Raw genomic sequence first — 20,319 nt, 5'->3', positions numbered from 1 at the left:
ATTTGACACTATAGCTGCCCAGTGCTAAAGCTCATGCCCTTAACTGCCAACTGTACTGCCTGCCATCATTATGTGTCTTGGGGTTGCCTCATTCATATAGAGCAAAAATGTTCCATTCAGACATAGCTAATTCTGGGGCCGGCGGCGGTCCGTCTTTACTAGACACACATAAAATGTCTAGCACTTTTTTATACTTGCTGAACAGGAAGAGAACTGGGTTTCTCTCTCCCTCTTTCCTGGCCAGAAGTATGTATTTCCTGGTGATGCAACAGCACATCCACACATAATTCAGAGCAGACAGATTAGGAGTGCAGATGGGAAGAGACACAGAAACAAACAAATCAAGTGTTGATGAAGATGCACGTGGACCGGGGAAGAGGCACATGAAGGTGCACCAAGGAAAACAGAGATGAAGGCAGAGGAGAGGGATTGAAATAAAAGAAACAGAAAGGGAAGCAGAATATAGTGTTTTTTTTTGTTTTTTGGGTTTTTTTTGTTTTGTTTGTTTGTTTGTTTGTTTGTTTTTGCTCTGTCGCCCAGCTTGTAGTGCAGTGGCATGATCGTGGCTCACTGCAACCTCTGCCTCCCAGGTTCAAGTGATTCTCCTGCCTCAGCTTCCCGAGTAGCTGGGATTACAGGCACCAGCCACTATGCCCAGCGAATTTTTTTTTGTATTTTTAGTAGAGACAGGGTTTCACCATGTTGGCCAGGCTGGTTTCGAACTCCTGGCCTCAAGTGATCTGCCTGCCTTGGCCTCCCAAAATGCTGGGATTACGGGAGTGAGCCATTGCATCCGGCCAGAATGTATCTATTTAACTTTTTACTCCCCTGAGATTGGTGGAGAATAATAAACAGCAAAACTAAATTTTTATCTGTTTGTTCAAATGAGTAATTGCTTTTAAAATACAGTTTAATTTGAGATGTGAGCAAATAGTGCCTTTTGCTTAGAAACAATGCATTAAGGATTTTCACTGATTACTGCTCATTCCATTCTGCCTACTGAATTTTTTTTCTCCCTCTTTTGGTCACGATTGCTCTAAAGTTACTAATACCCTTAGAATAGGAGCTTAGTGACTACTGGGATACTGTCCCTACTGGTGACCACTGATTCCTATGGTTCGGTATAGTATCTTGCATTTTGTAGGTATTCAGCATCTGTATTTCTTTTTATGACAAAATGAAGTACTTCCTTCCTTTTTGCCAAATCTAAAGACCTTATCTCAAGAACTCAGAGTGAGAAAGCCAAATGGAAGACAAGGAAGGACGAGGTAATGGCATAAAAGTTGCACAGGCTAAGGGGCAAGACAAAGAAGGAAGTTTTTTTTTTTTTTTTTTTTTTTTTGAGACCGAGTCTCACTCCGTCACTTAGGCTGGGGTGCAGTGGCGTAATCTCGGCTCACTGCACCCTCTGCCTCCCAGGTTCAAGCGATTCTCCTTACCTCAGCCTCCAGAGTAGCTGGGATTACAGGCACCCACCACCATGCCTAGCTACTTTTTGTATTTTTAGTACAGACGGGGTTTCTCCATGTTGGCCAGGGTGGTCTCGAACTCCTGACCACCCACCTCAGCCTCCCAGAGTGCTGGGATTACAGGCGTGAGCCACTGCGCCCAGCTGGAAGAACGTTTTTGATGCACTACGTTTGCAGTCGAGGTTATTTGAAATGAACTGGGCTAAAACCCTTAGAAGGAGATATGTGGACGACAGAGTCTCAGGACAGCTCGGATGCAGTGAATAAATGCCAGTCCTAAGCACATGCAAGCCAGCATGGCACAAAGCCTTCAATTAGCTTGCAAAATAGTCTTTGAAAAGGTCTGTTTCTGAAGAATAAAATGTGTAAAAATTCGCTTTATTTTAATCTGTGGTTATAACACCGGGTAAAAGTACAAGTTTTAAATTATTTATCATTTCAAAGTAAAACTGCATCTGGCAATCAGACTCAATACTAATTAAATAAAAATAACAGGGTATTTTTATTTGAAAAGCTTTTATGGGTAAGGAAAGTCAATGGACTTTCTCTTCTCTGTAGTATACCCCATCCCCCACACTGTCTGCAGGGGTCAGGTGTACAAAGGCTGTGGGTCATCTCTAATAAGTATGAACCCATACGGGGTACATGTTATGTTTGAGGATACAAAAGTATAATTTCTTGATCTTTTTTTCATTTTAGATAGGTTGTAAAGCACTAAGCACACACTTCCCAACACTGTTACTCTGTGGGTCTATTCTCAGTACCCAAAATAGAGCTTGTAGTGGAATAGATGCCCAGTAAAAATGTGTTGAGAGTAAGTAAATGAATCTGCAGCTCTGAGCCTTGGAGCCACTCTATTTCCAGTAGTTGGTAACTGCCCTCCAGATCAGGGATGAAATCTTTCTTTTAGTTCCCTAAATTCAAAGAGAAGTTAAGTCTTCTCCCATCTGGGCTCAGGTATACTGCATAGGGCCATAGAATTATTTTTTTTCAAAACAGAAAATTGCCTTCATTTTTATTTGGCTTTAAATAAAGTAACATATGATCGTAGTAAAGAAAAATCAATAATACCAAAAGCGAGAAAAAAATTAAAGTGACCACCAATACCCCAGAGAAAATGGCTAGTCTTATTTTAGAGGAGGAAGCCAAGGTCTGGAGCTAAAGGAAGAGGGACTTGCTCAGGGTCTCATGTGCTCTTTGTCTTCAGATCAAAACCATGATTTTAGATGGCCTTGATTTCAGCTTCTGGCCACCTGTTTCCTGCACACACCCTGCACTTTCCCACCAGAGCTGGCTGAACCATGAAGCCTGACTTTCACTATTCCCATAAATGATCAGATTTTACAAAATCCTGAAGGGTGGTCATGGGCTTACCAAATCTCAGAATAGCAGAACTAGAAGGCTCACCTTGAAACATGGAAAGGTAAACTTAGTACAAGTATAAGGAATTATGTAAGTACTACTCTTAAGAAGAAAGAAAGAGCGAGAGAGAGAGAGAGAGAGGAAGGAAGGAAATGAATGGAAGCAAGAAAGAAAGGAAGGAAAGAAGAAATAAAAAACAGAAAAGAAAACAATATAATATCCCAAAAGAAGTAATACAGACAGAAATATAAATTAAACAAGGTTAGGATTAATTTGTGTAAGTTTATTTTAGGTTATTCAGGGTACATAACTAAGACTTACTGTGTACATTCCTTTTACATCTGACATTAAAAGAAGAGAAATTCTTCCACACAAAACAAAAAAGTCAAAGGAACGAACCACGTAGCCGTGCGGTCAATTCTTAAGCAAAGTCCTGAACCTGAAGAAACTGGGTTTATTCACTCTAATGACAGTATGGCTCTAACCACAGCACTTTAGTTCTGTCACACCTCTGTCAATGATTCCCTGACCCCCTGTTCACGTGGAAAGGAAAGAAGCTGACAATGGCAATCTAGCCTGATGCCCAGTGTCTACATCCTCAGTCCTGAGCCTCTCTAGCCACAACTCTATCAGGTCTGCCCCTACACCCTGGCCTGTCTGCTTCCTGATTCTGTTACACTTTGGTTTCCTAGCATGCTGTGAGGTATATAAAGGCAAGAACCATGTCTACTTCTTTACCACCATTATTTTTCCCATCCTGGCACACTTAAACCTGGTTAGTGCTTAATAAATAGTTGTTGGATGAAGATATTTTGTAGACTATCATGAGAACCTGAGGTGAAATAACACAGCATTGGAAGGAATAAGAGGTGTGGTTCACTGAGCCCGGCCACTGCCCGCAAGACTTCCATGTCCACCATGTCCACTCAACATTGGGCCTCATACTCTCCCTGGTTCTCCCCCATCTCCCTGGTACGTTGTCTTCTTTGATGGCTTCCATTATACCTTGATGACCGCTCACTTTTTCTACACTTGCTTTTTTGGGAATATCCCCTCAGCTTTTGTACTAGCACCACCATACTGTGTCTGCCCAAATTTATTACTCTAATAATAATTTCTCTCCCTTTTTGAACAAAGAGTGAAATTTCCTATCTCCACATGCCTGCAGGAAATCCCCTTTTGGATGTGGTTTCTACCTGAAATTAAACACTGCTCCTCTCTGACGATTCAAGAAGGAAATCCTCCATTTAGGACAAAGCAGAGACTTTCCTTCCAGCTCCTCAGATGTATATTCTTTGGAACCGTCTATAAGTTCTTTGCTCTCCTAAAAGGTTTGCTAATTCTCCCTCTGTAAAGACTCTCATATTTGATCTTTCTTCATTTCCATACTCACTGACCTGATTCAGGCCCTCATTACCATACTATCTCTTCCAGTGCTGGTATCCCCATATTCTAGTCCACTGTAGATAAGTTTCTCCAGCATAGTGTCATCGCACATAACTCCCTTGTTAAGTCTCTGTCTATTCCTTGTATGGCAAATAGGAACAGCCAAGATATACCAGTCCAATCCATTTTCCCTTAAACACTCAACAGGTTTCTTGCACCAGGATTCTTATTTCCACTTCTGCACTTTTGCCGGTGTCATTCCTTCACCTAGACAGGCTCCGTTTCCCTCTTCATTGCCATCATTACCTCCTCCATGGCTCACCTCCACCAAGAAACTTTCTCTGACTAGTTCCATTGCAGGATAATGACTACCTTTCCTTCTCTTGGCATGATTGTTTAGCTCTGGCTATGCTGCTATGCTATTTCTTGTTTGGCTAGTGATAATGGTTAATAATAATAATAGCTATCATTTATGAAAAACTATCATTTATGAAAAACTACTATGTGCTAGGTACCTGACTAGGCTATTTATGAAGCTCAATAATCTTCCCAACAATCACACAGGCTATGTAGATATTATGCCTGTTTTATATATAAGGCAACTATGGCTTAAAGAGAAATCATTTGCTCAGGGCCACACAGCTTGCAAATGGCAGAGCTAGGATTTGAACCAACAGAATGCAGGTACCATCCATAGTGCCTTGTGGACATGTTTAGTCAGTTCATGAATGCCAGCTGACTCTGGCCCAGTTCATCATAGGCAGTTATTTTATCTTTTGCTTTTGCATTCTCCATGCAAATAAGTAGAACATAAGAACAATACTTTTCATTATAGGTGTAAGTTTCCAGTTTTGTGCTGTGGTATCGTTAAAGTGTCATTTTTCATCTGAGCATTGGAGTTACTGGGAAAAAAATCGATTTGATTTTAAGGTCATTGTTTAACATTTTTCTCTCTGTGAATGCCTAACCTGCTTTCTCAAAAGAACATCTGATTTAAGTCGCATCAAATACCACACTGTCCTTTGTTCTGAGGCCTAAAATGTTAAAATATGTATTTATGCCCCAGGTTTTATATGCCAATGCTTTATCTCCCCAATTTGACCTCATAGCCACCACTGTAGAGGCCTCACACGACATTAACAGCTTCCAGTTACACCCAGAATCTCCTCGGTAACATAGCCCGTTATTAACCTGTACTATGCAGATCCCTAGAGTTGGATACTTTTCTAATAAGAATGAAAATTTTTCACAAGATTCATCCAGGGCTTTTTGCCTTTATATTTTTTAGATTGAAGACTCTCATGTCCTAAGTGGTTCCAATATTCAATACTTGACATTTTTTTGTCATTTCTTATTATATAAGCTTTTTAAACCTTCATTCACACATTACTTTTGTCATTTAAAACATTCCAATGTGAAAGGTATTGATTAAATGCAATTATCAATATGCAGTTATCAATTGATTCCTCTCAAATCTCTCTTTTTCTTGATTCTTGTTTGTTTTCCTTTTTTAAATGCTTAATTTAGAGTCTTAGCAGAAAAATTTTCCATAACTACTTTTGCGAACAGTTTGGTGTGCGATATGACCACATTTGGCCTCTCAAAAGGATGGTCTTTGAGGCCTGAAACCAAGGTTGTTAATAAGGGAATACAAGTATTTTTCACCCTAGATCCTTACCTTTCTGCTTCGAGTCGCATCTCCTCCCTCTTTTGCCTTCTAAGTTCTCTGCGACGCTCAAAATCATCCATGGTGTGATTTCAGGTTCAGGGAGACCAGATGATGTCTGGACCTGAAAGAGAGGAGGTAGAGTCAATATCATTGATAACTCAGTGTGTTACTTCTCCTGAGTTACTATGGGCCCTCTTTCCCATTTGTCATTCTCCTGATTTTTCTTTACTCTTAGAAAGCTGATAAGGTAGCCAGTGATCAATTTCTGACTCCTGAGCCGAGTTAAATTCAGTCTCATTCATGAATCTCCTAGAGACAAATAAGTAAGATCCCAAGATTATTTATTCTTTAAAAAAGACCTCCGGAGACAGAGAGGTTTTGAAGACTTGAAATATTGGTAGAATCACTTGAAATTCTAATGAATGATTTTGCTCTTTGTAACTTTCTGAACCCCAGACCAAAGTTATGAAAAAGTGAACAAAGGAGGAGGAAAACAGGAATGACAAACAGAAAAGAAAAGTGGCAAGAAGAGGTATTTGTAGGAACTAGGAGAAAAGTGAAAGCGAGAAATAAAATAATACAGTGTCTAGGCATATAATGTGCATATTCTCAAAGAAGCATCAGGATTTTAATAAAGACTGCAGCAGTAACATCATGAATAAACATCATGAAGCAACATTTTTAAAAGCAGTTAAGTGGTGATCAAGCTGTTTTCCAAGCTCTAAAATCACTGCTTTTCTACAGATGTAACCCAACCATTTTACCCTTTCCTACCTCCTCTGTGATGGTTTTAATTCCGGAAAGACCTTCCCCTTCCAGCTCTTTAAATGAGGAGCCCGTTTCCCCTGCGTTTCTGTGCCATGGAGTCAAGTATTCCAGAATTCCCCTGCAGCCCCCAAACCCAAAATGACTACCAGAAAGGGGGAAGCGGGCTCTTTTTGTCCTTGCTTTGTTTACAGAGCTGTCAGTGGTTAGTTAAACTCAGCCTGGAATCTGGCATTTAAGGCCTGCTTGAAGATTGTTTCCTGTGCGGAATGGGAGGCCTCCACTTCCTCTGGAATCCTAGACTCTCTGCTGCGCTCGAATCACAGAAATATTTTCCAGCCCTTTATGTGCACATGAGACGAGCCATTTGCCCTGTGTGAAAAAATAAGGAGCTGTACAAAACCTAAAGCCATCACACCTGAAGGCATCTTTGTTTGAAGGAGCAAAAAACAAAACTTAGATTTTGAAGCCAAGTTCAGAAACCTTCTTAAATAAATTGTCCAATTATTTTATTTTCAAAGGTTTTTTCCCCTCTAAAAAAACCCCACAAAAACAAAAATAAAAGTTCAGCCAACAAAAGCAAAACTATACAATGTTTGAATTTTTCCCCTTTTTTATCCTCTAGGGTATTATTAATGCTGCTTATAAATCTTTAGAAATTCAAATCTTGGTGTTTATTTGGGGTTTTAAATTTTTGATGTTTATCTATCTTACTCTTACCAAGAGTACTTCCCTAGGCTTTGCTAGTTATGAAGGAAACAACCCATTTTCCTTCTTATTATTTCATCGACCATAAAGAAATTTTTCTACACTTTCCAATCTAGTCTGTAATTATCTGAATGGAAAAAGAAAAAGTGATTTGAGAGTTCCCTAAGAGGGCATCCCAGGGCCCTTCTCCCTGGGGTAGGCTCCTGTTCTGACCACAGGGCAGGAGTGTGTGAGGACAGCCCTGTGGGCAGTAGGGTCTAAACTCCTGGACTCGAATGCCAGGTGCAGTGGGAGGGTAGACTCTTCTCTTCCTTCCATGTGGTCTTTTGTTGCATATAAAGTGCCTCTTGAATAACTATAGCAATAGCAAACAGACATGGGAAAAAGAGGTCCGTCTATAAGCAAACAATTTTACCTTTTAAAATTTATCCAAGTAGCTTGAAGAGCATCCTCTAAGCCTCTGTCTGGTTTTTGCTCCTACCTCATCAAATTTAAGTAGTCATTCTGGCTGTTTGTCAGCAACAGTGGTTCTCAGCCTATACCTCTGGTAGAGGTGCTAATGAGCAGTGAAATGAATATCTCCAAGCAGGCTGGAGATGCACATGGTCTGCAGAGCCGGGCAGTGTCTTGGAATACTTAAAAGGGAAGTGAAACTAACATCGTGAGGTCAGTTTGGCTGACCATCCTCACTGGCTCTTAACCCACGCAAATTCTTTTTCTCCTACCCATTCTCTTCTCCCACTCCTCACCTTCTCTTGCTTACTTGAGCACTTTTTCTTTCCCAGCCATAGAAAAACTACCTGCCATTTGAATGCTGCTGAGTATACATGTGGGGGCACCCAGAGGGAGAGAGAGAGCGTGTGCCATTTCCTACAGACCAGTGCTTTTCTAGGTGAGGCTTTGTGCACACGAGTGGGTGTAGCTTAGAGGAAAGCACAAAACCACATCTGTGTACCATGTGGTATGACTCTCGGTGGTGTGTGTGTCTTGTGTGGGGGAGAGAAGCTGTATGTGTTTATGAAAATGGCTCTCGGTATCAACCCAGGATGGGGCTGGAGATCCTCCTTCATCCCTGCACCCTTATATCACAGAGCTTTTCAGCCCTTCTCTAGCATCTTTCCTTTGTAAGAGGAGACATGTCTAGGTAGAATGGTAAGTGATTTTCTTTTTCTCTTCTACGTCCCCAGTCCCCAGGCAGTAATCCCTCATTTCCTGCCCTACCCCTACTCAGTGCTGAATTCTTTTCAGCAACATTGGTTAGGAAACAAACTCTCAACCAATGAAGGGATGAAAAGTCAAGACAGGGTGATTCCATCAGTCGTGAGGCTCTGGGTGTCACAAATAGAGTAGTGTGAAAGAGCTAAGTATTGATGTTAGTGACAGATGATGCGTTCTCGGAGAGTTTTATGAAAATCTAAATTTTTGTGCTGGAGGAGGGACTGTGGTCATGCTATTGAAAAATTTACTGAGGTGACTTCTTTTGTAAAGAGGGGAAAAACAAAAACCTTAACAGAGGCAGATGTCATTACCTATGGATATGTCTGTGTTTTCAATATGGATTCTCATAGATAGGATTTTCTTTTAAAACAGGGCATGCCTAAACTGCCATGATTAAGAAATAAGTCAGTGTTAAAGGTTTCAGGCCAGATGCAGTGGCTCATGCCTGTAATCCCAGCACTTTGGGAGGCCAAGGTGGGTGGATCACTTGAGGTCAGGAGTTCGAGACCAGCCTGGCCAACACGGTGAAACCCCATCTTTACTAAACACACAAAAAATTAGCTGGGTGTGATGGCAGGTGCCTATAATCCTAGCTACTCAGGAGGCTGAGGCAGGAGAATCACTTGAACTCGTGAGGTGGAGGTTGCAGTGAGCTGAGATTGAGCCGCTTCACTCCAGTCTGAGCGACAGAGCGAGACTCCATCTCAAAAAAAAAAAAGGAAAGAAAAAAGATTTCAAATCACCAAACACACTGCCCTTCCTTTTTTTTTTTTTTGAGATGGAGTTTCACTCTTGTCACCCAGGCTGGAGTGCAATGGCGCGATCTCGGCTCACTGCAGCCTTTGCCTCCCAGGTTCGAGAAATTCTCCTGCTTCAGCCTCCTGAGTACCTGGGATTACAGGTGTATACCGCCACACCCGGCTAATTTTTATTTTTAGTAGAGACGGGGTTTCACCGTGTTGGCCAGGCTGGTCTCTAACTCCTGACCTCAGGTGATCCTCCCCTCGGCCTCCCAAAGTGCTGGGATTACAGGCATGAGCCACCGCACCCAGCCTGCCCTTCTTTTTGAACAAAGCCACGAGCCTGCGGCCCAGGGGATTGGCATGATGTGACGAGAGGCGTGTCCTGCATCTTACCACCACGCCAGGGCTTCCGGGACTTTCCTCTCTTTCCTTTCCTTCCTCCTTGCTTTTTTTTCTCTGCCTCTTTTCAAAGGCAGAATATTGAGTGGTATTTCTTCTGACATTAAAAAAAATTTTCTCTTTCTTTGTGACTTTTTTTTCTTCTCTGTCTCCCACCCTGTGTCGGAAATGAAAGTATATTTATATTTATTAAAATCAATTTATGGCTCGTTTCCTTTAAAAATTTAGTTCAATAGCTGATGTGCATCTTTCAACCAAGAAATGTATTATGTTTTATATTCTTTTTTGCTGTTTTTCTTTTTCCCTCTATGGGCATGTAGCCCTCACTATAGATATTTCCTGTGATGCCTTTATAAGGGGAACTAGTAAGTTTCTGCTTTTGTTTGGGTCAGTGTTGGTGGCAGATAAGCCATTTTAGGTGTGTGTGGGTATGCTCACCTGTGTCACCTGTGCATGAGCACGTGTGTAAATGCAGTCAAGGCAGGAGATGTTTGTGAGCAGGTGGCTAACCCAGCACTCAACACTTAGGGACAAGGCCATGTGGAAGAAGCTAAGTCTTATCTACTTTTTGGGCAGTGCCAGTATTGATCTTGGAATGCAAGAAGAATAAAATCTGTTGTGTCAGGGGCACTGAATAAGTTAATGCAGCATCCAAAAGGAACTAACATTTATTGAATATGTACTATGTGGCAGGCTGTTTTTTAAGCCTTTAACATTTTTAATGAATAGACTTATTTCTTAGAGCAGAAAAAAAGCGAATAGAGAGTACAGAGTTTCCATATATTCCCCCCTCCCCAACTCCTGCCCACATTTTCTCCTGCATTTGGAGATAGAGTCTTTGCAGATGTAGTCAAGATGAGGTGATTAGGGTGGTCCCTTATCCAATATGATGGTGTCCTTATGAAAAGGGGAAATTTGGCACAGAGACAGACAAACACAGAGGGGAGATAATGTGAAGACATGGTGAGATGCCATGAGAAAATGGAGACAAGGAAGACCTAAGGCCACCAGAAAGCTGAGAAAGAGAAATGGGACAAACCCTTCCCCAGTGCCTTCAGAGGGAGCCTGGCCATGCTGACACCTCCATTTCAAACTTCAACTCTCCGTAACAGTGGGACAAGAAATTACTGTTATTATAGACCAACTAGTGTGTGGTACTTTGTTATGGCAGCCCTAGGAAACTTAGGAACATCTTGCAGTAGTGTGGTACATTTGTTCCAATTGACAAACCAGTATTCATGCATTATGATTAACTAAAGTTCATAGTTTACATTAAGGTTCACTCTTTGTTGCACAGTTTCATAGGTTTCACCAAATACCGAATGTCATGTATTCACCATAGTAGCATCATACAGAATAGCTTCACTGCCCTAAAAACCCCACCTGCTCCACTCATTTATCCCTTCCCTCTCCTTACTCCAAAACCCTGGCAATCACTGATGTTTTTATGTCTCTACAGCTTTGAGTTTTCCAGAATATCATATAGTTGGAATCATACAGTATGTCTGTAGCCTTTTCTGATTGGCTTATTCCACTTAACAACACACATTTAAGTTTCCTTCAAGTCTTTTCATGGCTGATAGCTCTGCTGGGCCATTAAAATATAAGTAATTTTACTTTATCTGGGTAACAGATCTGTGAGGTAGCTAGTATAATCCCCATTTTATGGAATTTCAAAGTGCATACACTTAACCACTATAATAGGACTAATCCACTATTTCTCTCTAGGATTTGTTTCCCATTTCAGGGAACAAACAAGAGTGCCCCAAAGAAGTTCTGAGAGGACTATTATCAGTGATTGCCACATTGATTCATTGGATCATATAACCTTAGGTAAGAAATAATCCTAAAAATTACCTATGCCTTCGGTTTACAACCTGTTTGGTTTAAATCATAGAATTATCAAGTCACAAAAGATCTCAATTGAATTAGCCTTCCAAATGCTTATTTCATCTCTGTTAATTTATTGTTAGTGCTTTGTAAAATTCGTAACTCAGGATGGCTGTATCCTCGACAGCATCATTGCATACTTTTCTTCAATATCTTAGTTTCTTCTCTTATATTGTACCTTCTTCATTACACATCTTCCTCCTCTAACCCACTGTATCCTCATTCACAACATCATCATTTCTCTGCTCTCGCAAGGAACTCTAGTCTTGGAACACTCAAAACCATTATTAGACAGGTCCTCTCTGACTAGCCATCATTTTGCACCCACTGTAAATTTCATGATTCAGCTACTTCAGTGAGGCCTCACAAAAACATTTATACAATCAATATACAATAAATATTTACCGCACAGCTACTATGTGCCAGGTACTGTTCTCGACACTGGGGTATAACAGTGAACAAGACAGAAAAGGTCTTTGCCTTCCTGGAATTGATAGTTTAGACTTTCTTGCTTCTTTAAAGTTCCACCAGGCTTGTCACACCCATCTTCAACCTTGAATCACACCTATCACCTGCTTTCTGTTTTGTGTTCTTGAGATTCAGTGCTTTGTGGGAGAAAGGGAGCATGTCGTGTATATCCTAAAGATTTGCATTCATTTCAGTTGGGCCATCGCTGCAACTCAGTGATGTTTCTCTTCATCCTACAGGTATTGGGTGATTTCTGGGTACAACATACTCCAGCAGATTTCCTACCTCTGATCTGCAATGATCATCGCTTACCTTGACCCTTTAACTGTTTTCCTTCACAAACCCTTGGCAAATAGTGACCTGGAATGAGACCTAGGAGACTGAGACTGAAGCTCTATGAGCTTTGTTTCTCTATAAAGTGAGCTGGTTGGAGAGATAATATTCAAAGTTTCATCTTACGCCACATAATAATACTATGGCTGTATACCTGCTTGAGCCAGCAAAGCTGGAGGTATCACACATGACATATCCATGCTTCTTCCTCCTTCCCAGACATAAATGTGTTGAGTATCTAAGTCTGTTCTCATTTAATTTTTTGATCTAGAAACCATTAACCTTCCTTTCAAGCTGATCATACCACAGCATCCTACATAAAAATATTTTATCACCTCTCAAATATGTCTTACAACTTTCTACCTCTACATTTTTACTCATTCTTTTTAATCTACATCTTCACTATCCATATTTTTATTCAATCATGAATTTCATGCTCAAATTTTACTTCCCTCATGATACCCTTTCCTGAGAACCCTAGCTTAAAAGCGACAATTCCCTCCTTGAATATCTATAATTCATGTTGATAATCAATAACACACTGTCAGCTACAGCTCATCAATTGTTCTCTTTAGCTAGTCTTTAAATATTTGTATTAGTATTTTACTTTCCATATGCTTTTGTTCTTAAGGCCACTTATGAAAAGATATAGTCTTTAAAAAAATTTTTCCACAATTGAGACAGAGTAGGCACTCAGAAATTGTAGCCAATTTGAGCCACTGGATTTCTATTCTAGATTTTACCATTCTGAGTATGGAAAATGTAACTCAAGCCAATTCATCTCTCTGTACTTTATTGACTGATCAGTGTTTACAAAGTGAATCAAAGACCTTGGTAATTGACTATGTATGAATCTCAAAAATTATATAAACCCACATTTGCAGTAGTTACACAGTAAATCTGGCAGCACTTTCTTTCCGACTGTACCAAATGAACTTTTGTTCTTTTCAAAAAAAATCAATTTGTCAACCCACTTTGCTCTTTTCTGAGCTCAATGGTTCATTTGGGATTGAAAAACCAAATAAACAAATGGATTATAATGTACAGTTTGCACTTAACTTTAGCTCAACCTTCACCATCTTGTTCCAAAAATCTGTGCTACTTTAAAAAAATACATGCATTTACCAAGGCAGGTCTGTCAAGAACAGCAGCATAGAAATAAGAGTGAATACAATCAACCTGAGGCACTTTGTCTTCTCAAGGTGTTTCTTTTCTCTAATCAATGGAATCCAACATACTAAGGGCAGGTTAACAGGTTATGACCTGTTTTTCCCTTGCCTTCCCCGCACAATCTCTTAGCATTACCATTTCTCTATTTGTACTTCTCCACTAGCAAACAGAAGACCTGGCAGATTTAACATTATTAAAGCCAATGTCTTTATGCCCTTTCTTTCACCTTCTGAGTAGCAGACAGTTTGAGTAGTTTAGATTTGTGAAATGATGGTTTTTGTATATACTAACTTCAACACTTAGGAAGACACCATGTTTAGGGACTTTAGGTTGCATCTTCAAGTGTTATCACAAATATCACCACCTTAATTTGGAGCACTTTATATTTTTCAAAACTTTATGGTTATCATTATTTGATCCTCCCAAGTAAGAAGAATCAATTCAACCCCATTTGAAGAAAGGAGACTGAGACATATAAAGCTTTGACATTAGCTCCTTAACCACTACAAATCAGTGGAAAACCAGGATTGGCATTTAGACTAATTTCTAAACCAACTTGAAAGTTTCTTAGAAGAATGAAGAGAAGTGAAAATTTGGGACACGACTTCTTCTGTTTTCTTTTCAAGCATTTAAATACTTTTCCTTGATGAACTCAAGGAGAATTAGGCTGAAAGACAGAGTTTAATGCTAAATCAGAATAGGCATGCTGCTCTATTGGCCACTAGAGAAGAACAAATGACACAAGCGTAAACCCTAAGGCAAGGTGGAAATTCTCCACTACCTTGTGTCCATGTGAGAAAAAATGCGTAGACTTGCAACAAATATGTAAAGATGCTTTCTAAATGTATGCCTGACTAACAGAGGCATTCACAATATTATCACACATAATTCAGATACAGGGAGGGCTGGCTCCAGCGCAACTACCCAAAAATGGGGGTGCATGGAAAGGGTAGACCCCTATCCCTGAAAAAGCCAGGGAGAAGAAGTGGCCATCTATTTAGGGTTATGGCGAAAATATATTTTTTAAGATTCTAAGGCTATGCTGTCCAATATGGTAGCCACCAGCCACGAGGTCATTTAAATTGAAAATAAATAAAATTTAAAATTCAGTTCCTCAGCTTCACCAGTCCCATTTCAAGAGCTCAGTAGCCATTATGTGTTTAGTGGCCCCCATATAAGACGGTGCAGAGAATGTTTTCATCACTGCAGAAAGTTCTACTGGACAGCTCTACTATAAGATCTTCCAACTCCTGGCTGGGCGTGGTGGCTCACACCTGTGATCCCAGCACTTTGGGAGGCCGAGGCAGGTGGATCACAAGGTCAGGGGATTGAGACCATCCTGGCCAACATGGTGAAACCCTGTCTCTACTAAAATTACAAAAATTAGCTGGGTGTGGTGGCGCACACCTGTAGTCCCAGCTACTCAAGGGGCTGAGGCAGGAGAATCGCTTGAACCTGGGAGGTGGAGGTTGCAGTGAGCCGAGATCATGCCACCGCACTCCAGCCTGGTGACATAACAAGACTGTCTCAAAAAAAAAAGAGATCTTTCAACTCCTAATATGAAATGATTGTACTGAGTGAAGTAATGCTATGCACTTCAGAGACATGAAGGTATGTTAGATATGGTTTCTGTCTTCAAAGACCTTACAATCTCATAGAAAAGATGTGGTAAGTTGTGGGGTGTTGTATGGGTCAGCATCTCAAAGCATGGCTGTGCTCTCATAATTCCCTCATTGGTACTCTCTCCATTTTCCTATGGAGGCTTTTTGGATGGGGGCAATCTAGCTGTGACTGGGCACTTGCAACTGAGAAAGTGAAATGCTTGGCAAATACAAAAGAAGCTGAGACACTGGCTGAAGAAAGATCACACTTCAAGTTAAGTAACAAGGCCCAAGAGTGGTTCACATGGAATGAAAGTTCAGAAGCCATGGGCCTTTCCCAGTTGTAAACATGCTGCAGAGATCACCATATTTTACATAAAAGTAGTTTAACTTGTGCATGGCCTTCTGGACTTGCTGAACTACTCAGCTAAAAAAAAAAAAAAGTCAGCAACTCATGTGCCTGCTTTTTGTGACTGGTTTGTTCAACTAACACTTCCAGTTTAGTGATACAGAGCCTTGGCCAGCTATCTTGCTAATATAAAGTAGGATAGCTTAGATGGCAGGATGCAAATCCATTTATAGTGCTGAAAACAATTCAAAGGTGTGTTCTAGAGGTGCTTTGTTAATAGCAGTATTTTTGTATGTGAAGGACAAGCTGTTACTGATCAGGGACTAATTATTCTCTAGTGAATTATTTGACTTCTATTCATCATGATCATCAAGTGTGTTTACTGTATTCTGGAACTGCAAAGCAGGTTAAAAACTACCTTCTAGAAGTTTATAATCCAAGGTGGAAAGGTTTGAAACCCAACTAAAGGATGTTATCTGCTATGTCCCTTGGATGTAACAGACATATAATTTAAGCATATATATTTACAGATAAATAATAAGTTGAAAAGTACTTAGATTGCTTCCTCTTTCTTTATATTTAGATAGTAATTTAGATAGTAATGAGTCATTTAGATAGCAGTTTCACTCATTTATTAGTTTGGGGATACCTGGACTTTTCCTCAGGTAGGGAATGGCTCACAGTTGGGGCCTGCTTAAGAATAGCACAAAACTGGCCGGGCGCGGTGGCTCACGCTTGTAATCCCAGCACTTTGGGAGGCCGAGGCGGGCGGATCACGAGGCCGGGAGATCAAGACCACGGTGAAACCCCGTCTCTACTAAAAATACAAAAAATTAGCCGGGCGTGGTGGCGGGCATCTGTAGTCCCAGCTACTCGGAGAGGCTGAGGCAGGAGAATGGCGTGAACCCGGGAGGCGGAGCTTGCAGTGAGCCGAGATCGCGCCACTGCACTCCAGCCTGGGTGACAGAGCGAGACTCTGTCTCCAAAAAAAAAAAAAAAAAAAAAAAAAAAGAATAGCGCAAAACCATAGGATCTTTGAACAACTGACTCAATAGCCTGAGTTTGTACTGATACCCATGTTGTATTTCTATTGGAGCACTTAGTCTATAGCTTGTATTTTAATTACCAAGTACATATTTGTCTTCTGTAAAAGGTTGTTATCTCTTAGAAATGATTACTGTCTTTCGTGATCCCTCAAAGTTCTTAACTGACTGTTTTTCTTATACTCCGCATTAGGCTCACACTTGTTGAGTTGGAACAGATGCCAGGGCAGTGTTTATTTGTTGAACTTAGTTGTTAAACAAATGAACTTGGCTAAGACGTTATCAAAAGGCTGTTTCTCTGGCTGAGCTCTTAGTAACCTTGGGAATGGTGGTGGTTTACTATGGAACTCTATTTTATATTCTGATTTGTAGTTGTGGTTGTTTTTCTCTAGTGGAAAAGAACTTGGTCTTAGAGAGACATTTCGATTTCAGGAAGAGGAGTATTAGGCATTTAACTGAGGGAATAGGTTTGTTCTTGGATGTTGAAAGAAAAAGAAGACAGGATGAATAAGAAAAGAAGAGAATCAGAATTCAGCTGATACACTTCAAATTTCCGCAGCCTTTGGAAACTTCTTGCTACCCCTCTATCATAATTAGAAAACACTGACATTCAGAGCCAATTAAATGTTTCCATCAGTCTAAAAAAACTGTTGCCTGATTTTGCTCTCTAACCATGCTCAGTAATTAGAAACATAAGGCACCGTTCTGGAGGTTTGCTTGGGAACCTACCCTTCCCAGGCCTCGCGTGGCTACCCATTGGCTACAGGACTTTTATCTTTTCTCACCATCTCTCTTAGGAGCCCCAGCCCAGATCACAGGAAAAGTGTGAGGTTGCCATGGGCATTCCTGGAAAAACTAGAAACTTCCGGTGCCACTTTAGACTTTAAAAAATGCAGAAGCTCACTCTGCCTGCCTGTTTCCTCGCTAAAGCACTATAGCTCTGTACTATACGTGGAAGGCAACAGTTCGAGGATTCAAACCAAAAGAGGCAAAAGGAGGATCTTTGTGACAACCAGCTTGAAATGGCATCCTTGTTCGCTTCGTAGAACAAGAAAGCTGTTCCAGCAGCTGATGTTAGAGTTCCTCACACTCTTGCTGAAAAACCTATACTTTGCAGAGTGTAGGATTAGAATACCATCTAAGAAGCAGCAGCAACAGCTTTCTACTTCTGACAATATCTACAAAGAAAATGGAAAAATACTTGTAATCAAGGACTTCAACTCGACAGTTACCTAGCTTGTCAAATTAAAACATGTGGCAACCACCGGGCTAAATATCTTGAAAGAATGATACTTTCTTGTTTTTCTCCCTGACCTAAAATCTCTTTGGAGTACATTTGCAATTCCTAATTTTTCACACTTAAACAAAAGCTGTCCACACTATGTTTAAAGATGACTAAGCAATTTTGTATTAAGTAACCAAAGATCACTCTGCCAATTTTAGAATAATTAAGTTTCTGCAGCCGAATATAAACAGTTCCAAGAACTACATGTGGCCTACCAAAAGTATATATTACAAGTAGTCAACCCTGTGGCCAGCTGGCAGACAGATCAACATGTTAAAGTAGAATTGTTCAGAATTTGGAGTATTATTTTTCTTTTCTCCCAATATCTTTTCTGCATCCAACTTTGTTTCTTTGGGAATGTTTTCAAGTATACAAAGCAAGAAACTATTGTGGGATTGCACCTCTTGTAAACGAATGAGCATTTCTCTTGAGATCCTTTGGAATGCACATATCATTCCCATTTCAATTCCATCTACACAGGAAGCCAAAGAAAAATGGAGCAAATGAATCCACCTTCGTACCCCTCAAGTGAGAGTATTCATATTGTGCTTGATCACCAGAAAGATCTGCATTGACCACTGGACAAGTGAACGTGGACATTAAGCCATAGGTCTGTTGAGCACCAAAACACCTTTCTGACCCTAGATCCTTGCACTGTGCATTAGTCTGCTCTTGCACTGCTATAAAGAACCATCTGAGACTGTGTAATTTATAAAGAAAAGACTTTAATTGGATCATGATTCTGCAGGCTGTATGAGTAACATGGCTGGGGAGGCCTCAGGAGACTTTCAATCATAGTGGAAGGCAAACAGGAAGCAGGCATGCCTGACATGGCGGGAGTAGGAGGAAGAAAGAGTGGGGGAGGTGCTGCACACTTTTAAACAGCCATAACTTGTGAGAACTCACTCAGTATCACGAGAACAGCAAGGGGGAAATCCTTCCCCATGATCCAATCACCTCCCACCAGGCCCCTCCTCCAACAATGGGGATCACAATTCGACATGAGATTTGGCAGGGACACAAATCCAAACCATATCACACTGCCTTTACCAGATAGCTTCGTGGGCCAGAATTTCTTGCTAATAAGGCTAAAGTCACAGATTTATCCCACCAGGAATGAGTTACTCATTTGAGGGGAAAAAAATCCTAAGCTATGGCCCTGTGCTATGACATTAATCCGGGCCAGCTATATGACAGATGTAGCTGACCACCTTAAATTGAGAAAATAGAGATGGTTAGTTTAGCCCATCCCGCCGTGACCTTCAGTAGCGTGTATGGCCAAATGAATGTGAGTGTGTCATTAAACAAAAGGCCCCTACATATTCAGCTGCATTATAAGTCCTGTCGTCTTCTGCATTATATTTAAATTCAGATACAATCAAGAGTGGCTGAGACTCTACAACCATCATCCCAATGAGAACTTTAATAAAAATATTCAATGCAGATCATTAAAAAGTCAGGAAACAACAGATGCTGGTGAGGATGTGGAGAAACAGGAATGCTTTTACACTGTTGGTGGGAGTGTAAGTTAGTTCAACCATTGTGGAAGACAGTGTGGCAATTCCTCAAGGATCTAGAACTAGAAATACCATTTGACCCAGCAATCCCATTACTGGGTATATACCCAAAGGATTATAAATCATTCTACTATAAAGACACATGCACACGTATGTTTATTGCAGCACTATTCACAATAGCAAAGACTTGGAACCAACCCAAATGTCCATCAATGATAGACTGGATTAAAAAAAATGTAGCACATATAAACCATGGAATACTATGCAACCATAAAAAGGATGAGTTCATGTCCTCTGCAGGGACATTGATGAAGCTGGAAACCATCATTCTCAGCAAACTAACACAAGAACAGAAAACCAAACACCGCATGTTCTCACTCATAATTGGAAGTTGAACAATGAGAACACATGGGCACAGGGAGGGGAACATCACACACTGGGACCTGTCGGGGTGGGGGTGGGGGGCTACGGGAGGGATGGCATTAGGAGAAATACCTAATGTAGGTGATGGGTTGATGGGTGCAGCAAACCACCATGGCATGTGTATACCTATGTAACAAGCTGCACGTTCTGCACATGTACCCCAGAACTTAAAGTATAATAAAAATAAATAAATAAAAAATTCAATAAATGTTTATGAAATATTCATGTACTAGCTACCTTGCTTAGTGTAGCATATAAGATGTGAATGCAGCTATTCTGCCTTCAAGTTGCTTGTAGTCTGATGGTGGAGATGGGCAATCAACAAATAAAATACAAATTAGGTTAATGTTAGGAAGAAACCTAAAAAGAAGAAAAAAAGAAGCTACTATGAGAGAGAACTACAGGAACGATCTAATGGTTTCCTATGTGTTAGAATAAGATCTGGGTGGTAATCACCTTTTCCAAAAGGAATGACATTAATATATATAGAGACATGAATTCATACGGGGAACATAAATTTA

At 40.5% G+C, this 20,319-nt stretch overlaps 1 protein-coding gene across 34 annotated transcripts in view; it reads right to left on the bottom strand.

The window, feature by feature from the left end:
• Nucleotides 1-20,319, bottom strand: part of CALD1 (caldesmon 1) — a 259,231-nt gene that overhangs the window by 97,030 nt on the left and 141,882 nt on the right. For 29 of the 34 annotated variants that reach the window (NR_199386.1, NM_001438770.1, NM_001438779.1 and 26 more), the window contains one exon: nucleotides 5,896-6,007. Coding sequence is in view for 33 of the 34 variants with exons in the window: in NM_001438770.1 (NP_001425699.1) it covers nucleotides 5,896-5,966 (71 nt within the window). In the remaining variant the exon portion in view is untranslated. Of the gene's footprint in view, nucleotides 1-5,895; nucleotides 6,008-6,660; nucleotides 6,799-20,319 lie in introns of those variants that run through there. The other 5 variants (XM_047420866.1, XM_017012652.2, XM_047420876.1 and 2 more) reach the window with 1 other exon arrangement.

Source organism: Homo sapiens, chromosome 7 (assembly GCF_000001405.40).
Source record: "Homo sapiens chromosome 7, GRCh38.p14 Primary Assembly".
In the NCBI taxonomy this organism is placed as follows: Eukaryota; Metazoa; Chordata; class Mammalia; order Primates; family Hominidae; genus Homo; species Homo sapiens.
This window is presented reverse-complemented; position numbering and strand designations above follow the sequence as displayed.